At 38.3% G+C, this 14,413-nt stretch overlaps 1 protein-coding gene across 4 annotated transcripts in view, besides 1 other annotated feature; it reads right to left on the reverse strand.

The window, feature by feature from the left end:
- TC2N (tandem C2 domains, nuclear) overlaps nucleotides 1-14,413 on the reverse strand; it is an 87,791-nt gene that overhangs the window by 42,986 nt on the left and 30,392 nt on the right. For 2 of the 4 annotated variants that reach the window (NM_001289134.2, NM_001128595.3), the window contains exon 1: nucleotides 13,640-13,724. The exons of 1 other annotated variant lie outside the window; for it this stretch is intronic. The gene's annotated coding sequence lies outside the window, so the exon portion shown is untranslated. Of the gene's footprint in view, nucleotides 1-13,451; nucleotides 13,725-14,413 lie in introns of those variants that run through there. One more of the 4 variants, NM_152332.6, reaches the window with a different exon arrangement.
- Nucleotides 6,821-7,021: a silencer, noted in NCBI's record as "peak2233 fragment used in MPRA reporter construct". NCBI's record gives its function as "represses an SCP1 promoter by STARR-seq MPRAs in K562 erythroleukemia cells {active_cell/tissue: K562}" and the evidence as "EXISTENCE:reporter gene assay evidence [ECO:0000049][PMID:32103011]".

Genomic DNA, 14,413 nt, shown 5'->3' on the forward strand with positions numbered 1-14,413 from the left:
TGAGACAGTGTCTCGCTCTGTCGCCCAGGCTGGAGTGCAGTGGCGTGATCTCTGCTCACTGTAAGCTCTGTCTTCTGGGTTCACGCCATTCTCCTGCCTTAGCCTCCCAAGTAGCTGGGACTACAGGTGCCCACCACCACGCATGGCTAATTTTTTGTATTTTTTAGTAGAGACGGGGTTTCACCGTGTTAGCCAGGATGGTCTCGATCTCCTGACCTCGTGATCCGCCTGCTTCAGCCTCCCAAAGTGCTGGGATTACAGGCATGAGCCACCGTGCCGAGCCTATACTCATTATCTTGACTGTGGTGATGGTTTCATAGGTACATACATACATGAAAACATGAAAACATCAAATTATCGATTTCAAGTATATGTAACTTACTACATATCAATTAGACCTCAATAAACCTGAAAAAATAATACATAAGTAGAATTACAGAACATTAACAGAAAAAGAGGCCTCAAAAACATTAGCAGAGCCGAAGGCTTAGAAATCATTTTATCAGGGGCCAGGCATGGTGGCTCATGCCTGTAGTCCCAGCACTTTGGGAGGCCAAGGCGGGTGGATCACCTAAGGTCGGGAGTTCGAGACCAGCCTGACCAACCTGAAGAAACCCCATCTCTACTAAAAATAAAAAATTAGTTGGGCATGGTGGCACATGCCTGTAATCCCAGCTACTCAGGAGGCTGAGGCAGGAGAACCACTTGAACCCGGGAGGCGGAGGTTGCAGTGAGCCGAGATCACGCCATTGCACTCCAGACTGGGCAACAAGAGCAAAATTCCATCTCAAAAAAAAAAAAAAAGAAAAAAGAAATCATTTTATCAAAGTCCTTCTAATTTTACCCAAAGAAAATAATGAGTCAAGCAACTAGATAATGTTAGGTTTAGAACCAAACCCTAAGCTTCACAACTTTTTCTAATACACCACATTGCTTTAGGTAGGGTATGGGTAGAAGGGCAGGACCAGTCAGGTTAACAGACTATGTGCTGGCTATCTACATAGCCACATGTTTGCTTTTTTAGCAACAAGGAGAAACAAATATAAATGGTTAAAAGTATACTGCCTATGTTCCAATCCTGTAACTTTCACTTATTAGCTATATGACCTTAAATCTGTTACTTAACCTTTTTAACCTTCAACTTCTTCATCAATTAAAAAACAACAACAACAACAACAACAAAACACTTCTTAGGGCTATTGTGATGATCAACCAAAGTAATGCACATAAAGTATAAAACTAGTGGTAGGGCTGTTTTAAGAATAAATGTTTGCTGTCATCAGCGGCATCATTATTATATTTATTATCATCAGATCCCACTTACAACAGATCTGATTCATGCTAGGCACTTTACCCAATGCCAGAAATGATATGGGGACATTTAGCTAGAACATTCTAGTATGAGGACAGATTGTAAAAAGACTTAAATACTTCCATATCAATAGATAAAAGCTATAAACACCCTAGTCACTTTAACTCCTCCCTAGGCACCCCTGAGGTAAATGTCTGAAAAAGCAGGGGCCTCCATGACTCTGCTCCAATATTACAGTCAGTGCTCATGCACGACAAGTTGTTAAAATACTTTTAATATCACTTCCTTTTGAGATTCCCAAAGGGCTTATTTGCCTCTGCTGGTCTGACATAGTCTAGGAACAGCCTGTCTATGGTATTCTCACAAATAAAGGACAGTACATCATCACGACTTTCCCCTGCAAACCTGCTTTTCCTCTGGTATTTCCTACTACAGTGCCACTATCCAGCTAATTAACTAAGCCAGAAATACAAGTGCCATTCTTGAGTCCTTCTGCTCCCAAAATCCACACATCCAATTCATCCATTCACTTACAAGCATTTATTGAGCATCTACTATGTACTAGGCAATTTGCTAGGCACTGAAGACAAAATAGGGAACAAGACAGACAAGCTTTTGGAGCGCTTACAACAGAGGAGGGAGATAAACAGAAAAATAAACAAACACATGATACATTCAATCCAATGAGGAAAATTAACCAGGATTCAAAAGGAATGAATGTTAACTTTGTATAATCAGAAAAGACTTCTCTGAGGAGGTAACAATCCAGCTGGAACATAAACACAAGAAAGGATCAGCTAGCAAAGTTCTTGATGGTGGAGCATTCCAGAAATTGCAAAAATCTTGAGTTGTACCCACTTTGCATTATTTTGCAAGGTACTAAGCAACAGAAAGAGTAGTTAGCAGGTGAACTGTGAAATAGGCAAGGGCTAGAATTCTGTTGAGTAGAGCCCCTTAATCCTTGTAATTTTCTTTTTCTTTTCTTTTTTTTTTTTTTTTTTTTTTTTTTGGAGATGGAGTCTCGCTCTGTCATCCAGGCTGGAGTGCAGTGGTGCGATCTTGGCTCACTGCAACCTCCGCCTCCGGATTCAAGCAATTCCCTGCCTCAGCCTCCTGAGTAGCTGGGATTACAGGCACCCGCTACCATGCCCGGCTAATTTTTGTATTTTTAGTAGAGACGGGGTTTCACCATCTTGGCCAGGTTGGTCTTGAACTCCTAACCTCGTGATCCACCCGCGTCGGCCTCCCAAAGTGCTGGGATTACAGGTGTGAGCCACCGCGCCTGGCCATCCTTGTAATTTTCACACCTTCCTTTCTATTCTCAATTTGACTATTTTGATTCAGATGTTATGATACCCCAAATTACAGAGAGCCAGCTAATAGGTTTGCCTTTCAAATTCTTTTTATCCCCCCACTGTGCTGCTAAGGTCCTTCGTCTGCTTTAAGTAATGCTATATCTCTCTATCACTTTCAGGATAAAATTTATTCTGCTAAATACAATATGTGACCCTTCTCTTGCTCATCTTCCACTACTTCCTTCTGCAAATACCAAGCTTCAAAATATAACTACCTGATGTGCTAGAAACACACCATTCTCTTTTTTACTTTTGCACCTTTGAACTACGTTAGGGTAGGAATGCTTCTTGCTGTCTCTAGTTTCTTTGAGAAAGATTTGTCTGTATTAGAAAACCTACTTGCCTGCAGATACATGCCATATCTAAATTAGCTTTATTAATAACAAAGCCCTATTTCAGTTCTCCATCTGTCTTATTCTTTTGTTTTTCTTTAATTTAGATTTCCTGGCTATCTTATTGATATTGATTTGTAGCTGAATTCCACTGTGATCAGAGAAATTGTATACAATCAATGATATTCATAGTATATCATCAATTTTAATAAATGTTCCATGTACATTTGCAACTTTGAGGTGCAATGTTCCATGTACATCACTAAATCAAATTCGTTGGTCATGTTAAAATCTTCTGTATCTTGGCAGGGCATAGTGCCTCATGCCTGTAAATCCCAGTATTTTGTGGGGGCCGAGGCAGGAGGATCATTTGAGTCCAGGAGTTCAAGACCAGCCTGTACAATATAGGGAGACCCCTATCTCTACAAAAAATTAAAAAATTAGCCAGGCATAGTAGTGCATACCTGTAGTTCCAGTTACACGGGAAGCTGAGGTGGGAGGATCACTTCAGCTCAAGAAGTGGAGGCTGTGGGAAGCCGTGATCGCATCACTGCACTACAGCCTGGGTGACAGGGTGAGACCTTGTCTGAAAAAAAAAAAAAAAGCAGGAAAAAAATATGTATCTCTATTGATTTTTTTTTCTGCTTGTTTTATATAGTACTAAAAGAGATGCATCTAAAAAGAAAACTCCAACTATGACTGTGGATATATCTATTTCTCCTTTTAGTTCTATCAGATTTGTTTCATATATTTTTATTCTAATTTATGAGGTACATATAAATTTATTAATCTCCCTTTCAATCTTTAGTAATACTTCTAGAAGCCTTAATGTTGGCTTGTCTGATATAACTAGAATTTCTTTCAGTTAATATTTGCATGTTATATCTTCTTTCCATCATTTTCTTTTCAACCTTTCTGTGTTATGCTCAAGGTGTCTTTTATAAGTAGTATGTAGTTAGATTGTGTTCTACTATCCACTCTGACAATCTTTGTATTTATTTGTATTTTAACTGTATTTAGTCCAGTCATAAAGATTTAAAACTGTTTTAACATATTGGTGATTTAAATCTCTTATCATTATGGTAACTTTTTAATTTCTAGAAATGCTTTTACCCTGAAAACAATTTTGTCTGATAGTTATAGCTATGCAGCTTTCTTTTAGAAAGCATTTGTATGGAATATCTTTTTCTGTTTACTGTTTCCATTTGTTTACCAACCTTTCTGTCTCCTCATGTTTTAGATATGTCTCTTATAAATAGCATTTAGTTAAAGTGTTTTAGTCCAGATAAACAATCTTTGTCTTTTGACTGTAATATTTATTCCACTTATATTTAAGATAACTGGCTGATATATATATGAATTTAAACCTATATTTTATCCTGGGCTTTCTATTTGTCCTACTTGTTCTCTGTTTCTTTCCTTTCATCCTTCCTTGGATTGACTAAGTGTTTATGATCTTCATTTTTTTCCCTCCAATAGCTTGGATATTGTATTACTTTCCTATTGCTGTTGCAACAAATTACCACAAATTTAATGGCTTTAAATAAACTTACTATCTTACAGTTCTGGAAGTTTGAAGTCTGAAATGGGTTTCACTGAGCTAAAATCAAGGTGTTGGCAGGGCTGCATTACTTCTGGAGGCTCTATGGGAAATTCCATTCCTTTGCCTTTTCCAGTTTCTAGAAGAAACCTGCATTCCTTGGCTCATGGCCCCTTCCTCCACTTCAAAGCCAACAAGACAGCATCTTCCAGTCTCCCTGACCCCTGCTACCATTGTTACATCTTCTCTAACTCCGAATCTCCTACAATCTCTCTTTCATTTATAAAGACTCTTGCAATTACATTAGGCCAACCTGGATACTCCATAATCCAAGATAATCTCCCCATCTCAAAATCCTAAATCACATCTGTAAAGTCACTTTTTCCATGTGAGGTAACATTCACAGGTTCTGGGAATTAGGACATGGTAATCTTTGTGAGGCCATTATTCTGTATACTATAAATTTTATAAACTCAATTTCCTTTTATTTAAATAGTCACTCTGGTTGTTTTAATACACACACTTAACATGTCAAAGTCTAAAGTTAGTCCTTTTATATTCTCCTGTTGCATAGTAAAAGGACTATTAAAAGACTTTTAGCTCCTTTACATGCCAATCAATCCATGTGTGACTTAGGCATGATGTCATCATTGCACATATTTTGATTCTATCTTGTTAAAACCCCACAAAACATTATTATTCTTTTGTAAAATTAGTGTTCATTTGTATTTACAAACATATTTCACCAATTACTTTCCACTTCATTCCTTCTTACATTCCTTCCATTTCATTCTTTCTTGCATCGCCAACTGTTCATGTACAATCACATTCTTCTTGCTAATATCCTTTATGATTTACTTTAGTGAAGGTATGTTGGTAGAAAACCCTCTGTTGTTGCTGATCTGAAAATGTCCCTGATTTTTATATTTTTTTGTGAAAAGTATCAATAATATACAAAAGTATAGCAAATATAAAATAAATCCACATGGACACATTATCTAGCTTTAATTATTATCAACTCATAGTCAAACTTTTTTCCACAATATCCTCCCACTTCCAGAAATTTTGAAAACAAAAATCAAGATATAATTTTATCTGTAAATATTTCAGTATGCATCTCTAATATTTCAGTATGTATCTCTAAAAGACAATATTGAAGAACATCTAATACCAAATATAACTTTACATTTATGTTTATATTTATATTATATATCTCTTTTTTAATGCAACTACAGTACCATCACACTTTCAGAAAAATCTATAATTTCCTCATATTAGTATTCACATTTCCCCAATTTTCCTATAATTTTGTATAGCTTATTTGAGTGAAATAGGTTTAAATATTTCTTAAATCTCCTTTAATCTACAAGTTTCCTTGAAAGTATTCTGATGCTGAAACCAGGTCTCTTACCCAATAGAGTTTATCATAATAGGATTTTGCTGATTGCATTCCCATGGTGTCATTCAGCAAATCTCTGCCTATTTTTCTGTAAAATTATAGTTCAATCTATAACTTAATACAGATTTTTAGGTTTGACTTTTTATTTTTAGTAAGACTACTACATAGGTTGTAGGTACATAATGTTCAGCTTTTATTTTTTAACAGTGTTAGCAACCATTGATCATCACCCTGTATTACTCTCATTCTTAAAGATATTTCCTCTGGTTATGAATTCTAAATTATAAGCTATTTTCTTTAAGACAAAAATATCTTATTCCATTGTCTTCTGTCCCACCATTGTTATAAAGAAGGCAGCTGCTAGCATAACCACTGTTCTTTTAAAAAAAAAAAAAAATCTTTTGTCTAGGCCCTAAAGTAATGTTAAGATTTTTCTCTTTGCCTTTGGTTTTCTTCATTTCACTGTGATGTTTCTAAGTATGTACTTTTTCTTGCTGGAAATTCATTGAGATTCTTGAATATACGGATTGGTGTCTTTCCTCAGTACTGAAAAATTCTCATTCATTATCTCTTTAAATATTGTTTTTGCCCATTTCTTTTCTCTTTCTTTTCTTGCAGAAATTCTAGTTTATTAGACTTTCTCACTATAATTCCTCACTCTGATCACTCTAATTTCCATGTCTCTTCACCTCTTTTATATTTTCCATTTCTGTCTCTTTGAGTTATATTCTGAATGATTTATTCTATCTTCCAGTTCATTCAATCTCTTTGTGGAGTACATCTAATTTCCTAATTAGTAGTTAAGCTGAAAGATGAGTTTTATTACTGCATTTTTCATTAGTAGAAATTACATTTAGTTCTTTTTTCAACCTGCTGTGTAGCTCTGTCACTTTTTAGACTCCTGATCTCTGAACATATCTTTAAATCTGTCTTTTATTTACTTAAACTCAGCCCAGTATAGTTATCTTAATGATCTATGACTGGTTTTTCAAGCTTTTGTAGGTTTATTTCGAGGTTCTATCATTCTGCCAATTCTTGCTCAGGATGTCCTACTTCCTTGTACAGCTGGTTATCTTTGACAATGAATTATTCATTGACCATGAAACTGTACTGGTAGAACTTTTTAAGCTAAAAATGAAAGTATACTCCAGAGAATATCTGCATTTGTTTACCAGACCATTTTCAATTCATGCGTTGACAAATAACCCAATTCTAAAATGGACAAAAGAATTAGACATTCCTGCAAAGAAGACAGACAAATGGCCAATAAACACATTAAGAAGCGCTCAATGCCACTGATCATTAGGAAAATGCAAATCAAAACCATAATGAGATACCACTTCACACACACTAATCAAAAAGACAGACAAAAAATAAGTGTTGGTGTGGCTGTAGAGAAACTGGAACCCTCATAAATTGCTTATGAGAATGTAAAATGGTGCAGCTGTTTTGGAAAACACTTTGGCAATTCCTCAAACACTTCACACAGAGCTACCATATGACCCAGGAATTCTAATCCTAAGTAAATATACCTATGAGCATAGAAAACATATTTCCACACAAAAACATTTTACACAGATGTTCACAGCAGCAGTATTCATGATGGCCAAAAAGTAGAAACAAATCCAAATGTCCATCAATTGATGAATGAGAAAACAAAATGTGGTATACAGCCATATGATGGAATACTATTCAACCATAAAAACAAATGAAGTACTGATTCACACTACAACACAGATAAATCTTGAAAACATTATGCTAAGAAAGAAGTGAGACATAAAAGACCACATATTGTGTGATTCCATTTACATGAAATGGCCAGAATAGGCAAATCCACAGAAATGGAAAACAGATTAGTGGTTGCCAGTGACTGAGAAGGAAGAGGCAAATGGGGAATGGCTGCTAATGGGTACAAGGTTTTTTTAGGAGGGTGACAAGAGTGTTCTAGAATTATATAGTGATAGTTGCACAGCTAAATGAATATACAAAAAAAAACCCCACTGAATTGTACATTTTAAAGGGGTGAATTTTATGGTATGTTAGTATCTCAAAAAAGAAATGATTTTTTAAATTTACATCTTGAAATATTTTTGACCACCAAGGTAATATAAAACTTCTCCCCATGGTCTGTTTGGTGGTCACAACTTCCCAAGGACAGGATTTTTTTCCTTTCTTGTTTTACCTGGCATCAAGACAACTTTCCTTGCACTCCCTTCAAGGAGGTAGAGTGAGTTTTTCGCCCTTCTCGTGACATCACAGCCCTTTGTGGTCCCAGAATTAGCCTCTTAGCCTACATTGAATGAGCCCTGGGCTGACTTCCAACTATCCTTGGTGACATGCAAATATACCAAGTGCCTATTCAAATGCATCAAGTTTCCCCTGTTTAGCAAATGCTCTCAAGGCAAGTAAGACTTAAAGGCTCCTTTAGTCTCTCATACGTTTAGCTTTCTCTTAGATTTTGGCATGTTAATTCCTATCTTTTGAATTGTTTTTTTAAATACAGCATTCTTAGCTGTTCTCAGCTAAGGTTGTCCAATACCTCACAACTTACACTGTTCCCAAAATGCAAATCCTATATTTATTTTTCAAGTTAAAATTAATTCTAGTAAGTTAGGAAAGGATTTGCAGCCTGATATAGTCTACATTAGAGTAGCTTCAGTATTATTTATGACTTCAGGTGATTACAGTAGATATTTAAGAATTAAATAACACATTTTATTACTTTTTAAAAAGAAAAAAATTAAACATTAATTTGAGGAGCAGTCTAATTTAAAAGAAGCATGGGTGGATAACTTGTTCTCTCAAGTATCAAGGTTCTTTAAACAGCTAAAGTAAATAAGACTGTGGTAAGATACATAAACAGATCTGTTTTAGAAAGAGTAGCTTGGAAACGACCACACATGTATGGAAACTTGATCTATGATACTTGTAGATCACTGAAATGAAAAACAGAATATTCAGTTCTATAATGCTGGGAAAAACTGATTAGCCATATGGGAAAAAAAGAAACTGGACCCCCACTTCACACCATACAAAAATCAGTTCTACATGGATTAAGGACACAAATATGAAAGGCAACTTTTTAAATAGATTTTCTTTTTTAGAGTAGTTTTAGAATCACAGTAAAATTGAGAAGGTACAGAGATTTCCCATATACCCCCCTGCTTTTAGTAGAAAATATCAGACTATATTTTTATAATCTCAGGGAAGGTAAAGATTTGTTAAACAAGATGCCAAAAGCACAAACCATAAAACAAAAAGTTGACAGAGTCAACTATATTCAACTATATATAAAACGTGTTAATCAAAAGACACTATAAAGAAAGTAAAAGACAGGCTGCTCACTTGGAGAAAAAGAAATGTGCCACGTGCATAACTGACAAGGGATTCACATCCAGAATATATAAAGAGCTTCTATTACAGAAATCCATTTTTAGACCGAGTGCAATGGCTCATGCCTGTTAATCCCAGCACTTTGGGAGACTGAGGCAGGTGGATCACCTGAGGTCAGGAGTTCGAGACCAGCCTGGCCAACATGGTAAAAACCCGTCTCTACTAAAAATACAAAAAATTAGCCAGGCATGGCGGCATGCACCTATAATCCCAGCTACTCAGGAGGCTGAGACAGGAGAATCGCTTGAACCCGGGAGGCAGAAGTTGCAGTGAGCCAGGATCATGCCATTGCACTCCAGCATGGGCAATAAGAGCAAAACTCCGTCTCAAAAAAAAAAAAAATCTATGTTTTAAAGTAAAAAAACAACAACAAAAAAATGGCCAAAGACATAAACACCCACAAAACATAAACAATGAAAGGTTCAACATCATCAGTAATTAAGGAAATTTAAATTAAACCCCCAATGGGATACCATTTCTCACCCGATTGTCTAAAAGAAAAAAAATTCAGGTAATTACGAATGTAGAAGTGTCTTACATGTTGCTGAAAAAGGGAACAAAATGAACACTTACATCCCGCTTGTGAGGCTATAAACTGGTACAGCCACTTTATAAAACAATCCGGTGTTTTCCAGCAAAACTGAAGGTTTTTAAAACCATGAACACAAAGAGACATGAGTTAGAAGGGTCACTTAAAAACAGATTTTAATGGAAAAAAGTAAAAATTAAATTTAAAAGCAAAAAAATAAAAAAAAAGACTGAAAACATCCTAAATATCCATCCGCAGGATAATGGATAAAGAATGGTAAAGTCACACAATGAAATTATGCGCGGCAATAAAAAGTGAACAAACTACAACACATCAGCATGAAGGAATCTCACAGAATGTGCAAAAGCAAAGCCATAGGATTCACATAGTAGAATATCATTTATACAGAGTTCCAAAGTAGACTAAACAACACAGTGTTTGGAATGCATAGACATGTGGTAAAACCATATAGAGAATCAAGGAGAGTGGAAAGAAAAAGATATAATCAGGGAGAATACACAGGTTGGCTTCAAAAAATGTTGGTTATGTATATTTCTTAAGCAATACATAGGCACGGGGCTATTTATTTTATTTGTATTCTCTGAATCTGTAGATGTGTCAAAAGTACTATTTTGCACATATGAAATAATTTCTCATTTAAGAAGTAAATAAATACATGGTTGTGGTACAAAACATTAAAAATTCAGAAAACTATATGAATAAAATAAAAATTATCCATAATTATATTACCCTGAAATAACTATAGTATTTGAAGGAGGTAAATATACTTAAATGATGTGCCTTTCTTCTATTCTTTATTTTTATTTAATCTGTTTTAAAGCTTTACTGAGGTATAATTTACCTACAGTAAATTTCACATATTTAAAATGTATAATTAAATGAGTGACATACATACATATAAATACATACACACACATTGGTAGAAGCATCATCTCATCAAGAAAATGAATATATCCATCATCCCCTAAAGTTTCCTCATACTCCTTTTGGATCCATCCCTCCTTACTTTCTCTTTCCCCTACCCCCAAGTAACCACTGATGTGTTTTTCCATCACATTAGTTTGCATTTTCTAGAATTTTATTGGGTATATGTTTGGGCATAGCTTATGCATATGTTTTACTTTCGCAGACAATGCCAAAAAGTTTTCCAAAATGACTACACCAATTTACACTTCCACCAGCAGATTATGAGACTTCCAGTTGCTCCACATCCTCATCAACACTTGGTTGCCAGCCTTTTCCATTTTAACTATTCTTTTCATATTCCTAAGGAAAATACTCATAAAATGATTTGTCTGAACTCTTGAGCAACAAAAAAAAATCAAACTTTCAACGAAGACTGAAGTGAAACTCATTATACAGAAATTTTAATCTAAGAGCTTTTTCCCCTGAATGCATAATAATAATTGAAGCAAAGGCCCTAAATGATGTATGCCTCACAGATTCTGCTTTAGTCCCAACACCTGATTTCTACATAAGATTTTTAGAAGAACCATTGGGACATACGTAAAAGAACCGCATAACTTAAAAGCAAGTTGAGAACATCAACATATTGGAACTCAGGTAAAATAGAGTCCAACACAGTTTATATGTGTGACTTAAACACTATAACACCTGAACTCAATACACCAAACAAAACACCACTAAAATTGTGTTCATAATTTGGATGGGGCGGGGCATAACTACTTTACCACGAATAGTTCTTTTCAACATGCTCAGCTTCTTGCTCTCAGCTTCTGCTACTTAACCATGAGAGAGGAACAATGTTATGAAATGATGCACTTCGTTTTTAAAATTTGTAATTATTATGGATAACACAAAGGTAGTCTATCATCCTTATTTCTCTTTTTTCTTTTCTTTTCTTTTTTTAATCATCTCCCTAATCAATGGATCGCCTCTCCTTCTAACCTTTGTTTCTCAAAATACGGATTCTAAACTCACATTTACTTGTGAGTGCAGAATCACTATTCTCTCCTCAGATTCATTCAAACTTGGCTTCTACCCTTACACTGTACTTAAATTATGTCTGCTGAGGTTAAAGCCCCCATCCTAACTTCCAAAGACAATAGGCACGTAATCAGTTCTTGACTCCCAGATAGACTTCTCTCCTTGTTAAAACTCTCCTCTCCTGGCTTCTATGAGACCACTGCCCCCTAGATTTCCTCCTTTCCTGATGCTCTTCCTCAGACTCCTTGGCTGTCTCTACCCATCGCTTAATGCTGGTGTTCCCCATCCTTGGTCTTGCCCTCTTCTTACACTATACTTACTTGAATGATTTCTTACACCCTTACAGGATTAACCACCACAAATCCACTGCTGCTTCCAACATTTGTAAGTCTGATCTTGACTTCAGAAAACCTGATACCAATATATCTATTGGTATATATCCACTAGACAGCTATGCCAGATGTCCCGCCAGAATCTCAAACTCATTTTCTCTCCACCTGAATTAATCTCTCAATATTAGTTTTATTCGTAAATGCACAATTATAATTCATATGAAGTCAATAAAATACAAGATATACTTAAATTTTTCATGAAGGGTTAAACAAAGAATAAATTTGTATTATGGCCTCTTCCTCAGTTATGAAGGTAACTCATATTCATTAGCAAAAATTACAAAATACAAAAGAGATGATAAAAAGCAAATATCCCAGCTCTCAAAGGCAAGCAACATTACTCCCTCCTTCCAGAAAAAGCAATTTTTAACCATGCTGAAGTTACACATCAAAATATGAAACTGGTAAATGGATTTTGTTGTTGTTGCTAATTCTCAATATTTTCCAGGCTATGTTCTACAATATTAATCAGGGAAAACAAATTTCTATTAACTGCCTACCTAAAGGGAGAACTAGAATAATATTTCAATTACAAAAGCAATCCTTTTATATGCTGTATTTTAAATGTTCTAAAGAAATCAATGGTTTTGGCTTGGCATCTATCTTGTCTATACCCAGATGTCTATCGGTGTGCACTATAGCCCACAGTTCATCCACAGTATCTTCCTCTAAAGAAAACCATAGCAAAGGAAAACCTGGAAGAAATAGAAGTCAAATCTAAAACCTAGCTGGGTAGATTGTGGTTTGCAAACACCACAGTAAAGGGACACTTTTAACACCCTTTCGCCACTTCACAAAGTTTCAGAAACATCACAGGTAAAAACCCTCTGCGAAGCTCTTCTCATCAGACCCCGCCAGGGAAAGGAAATTCGCTTCTCTTTCCCCAGAGCCCAGAAACCACCTGGACGCGCCGTCGGAAGCCCGAGCACGGAGCAGGGAGCCGGGCGCCCGGCGCGCGGCCGTCCCCGCCTGGGCTGGGGTCTCCACCGTCCCCGGTCACGGGTCCCCCTAGGCAGAGCCGCCCACCTGGCCAGCGGGGACCTAGCCTCGCCCCGTCGCCCACCCCTGGTGCCCTCCAGACCACCGCGCTTCCAGCTGTCGCGGGGCCTAAAGCTCTCTCAGGCCCCCGCGACACAGGCGTCGCTGAGGAGACGTGGGAACAGCCCCTGGGCCCCACCACGGCCCCATTTTAAAGAAAGTTAAAGACAAAAGAGACAGAACTGACACTCACCTCCAGCCCGCAAGGCGGGGCCGCCCTCACAGGCACCCCCCACAGCCCTGAGCGAGCTGCCAGGTGGGAGAAGCGCACCTGAGCCAAGCCACGCCGCGCCTTTCCCCGCCCGGGTCCCGCCGCCCTCCTCCGGGTCTCCACGTCCCACGCCCGCGCTGGGCCGGCGCCGCGCGGCCGCGGCCGGTTACCTGCTGGAGGCAGTGGGCGCTCTGCTGTCGCCGCCTGCGGGAACTGTGACTCCGGTCACCTCGCGCGGCCGCGCCTCGAGGTCCTGCCTTTCCCAGGGCCTCCCCTACCCTATCACTTACCCCCTCCCCTCCACTTCCCTCCCCGTACCCACTCCCACACCACCCACCAGGGCCGCCCCGCCCCTCGGGACGGGCGCTAAGGGGCGAGGCGAGGCAAGGCGGGGAGGGGCGAGGCAAGGCGGGGAGGGGCGAGGCAGGGCGGGGCAGGGCGGGGAGTGGAGTGGCGCAGAAGGGCTGGGCGCGGAGGGGCGGGGCCTCCCGCGTACCTGAGCCGCGCTGCGCCTGCGTCCTCCGCGACTCCGCGCTTGGCAGCCCCTTCCTGGGAAGGTGTAAAATGCCGCCAGGTGTGGGGTGTGTTTTGGGAGAAGAAGGGAGACAAGCGGTAGGAGGGGGAAGAGAGGGGAAGCTATTGGCCTGAGGAAACTTCTCTGACTTGGGGAGGCAGGGGCAGTCTTTCTGGCGATGTTTATGCACACTTTACTTAGAAGCGGAGTAGTCATGTTGTTACTTGACTTTTAGAGTTTTTATAAAAAGTCTATAAAGTCTTTGAGGATCAGCCCTGCTCTCTGCTTTTGTTGCTATCTGCTACTGCCTTGCCATCAATGGGTGTCTTGGAAAGAATATTAAATGTATCCACCACAGCACCTCACACCCCCGATTCTATGAGGGATCCCCTCTAACCCTGGTAAAGCGGGGGGCCTGGCCCTTTTCTCT

Source organism: Homo sapiens, chromosome 14 (genome assembly GCF_000001405.40).
Source record: "Homo sapiens chromosome 14, GRCh38.p14 Primary Assembly".
Classification (NCBI taxonomy): domain Eukaryota; kingdom Metazoa; phylum Chordata; class Mammalia; order Primates; family Hominidae; genus Homo; species Homo sapiens.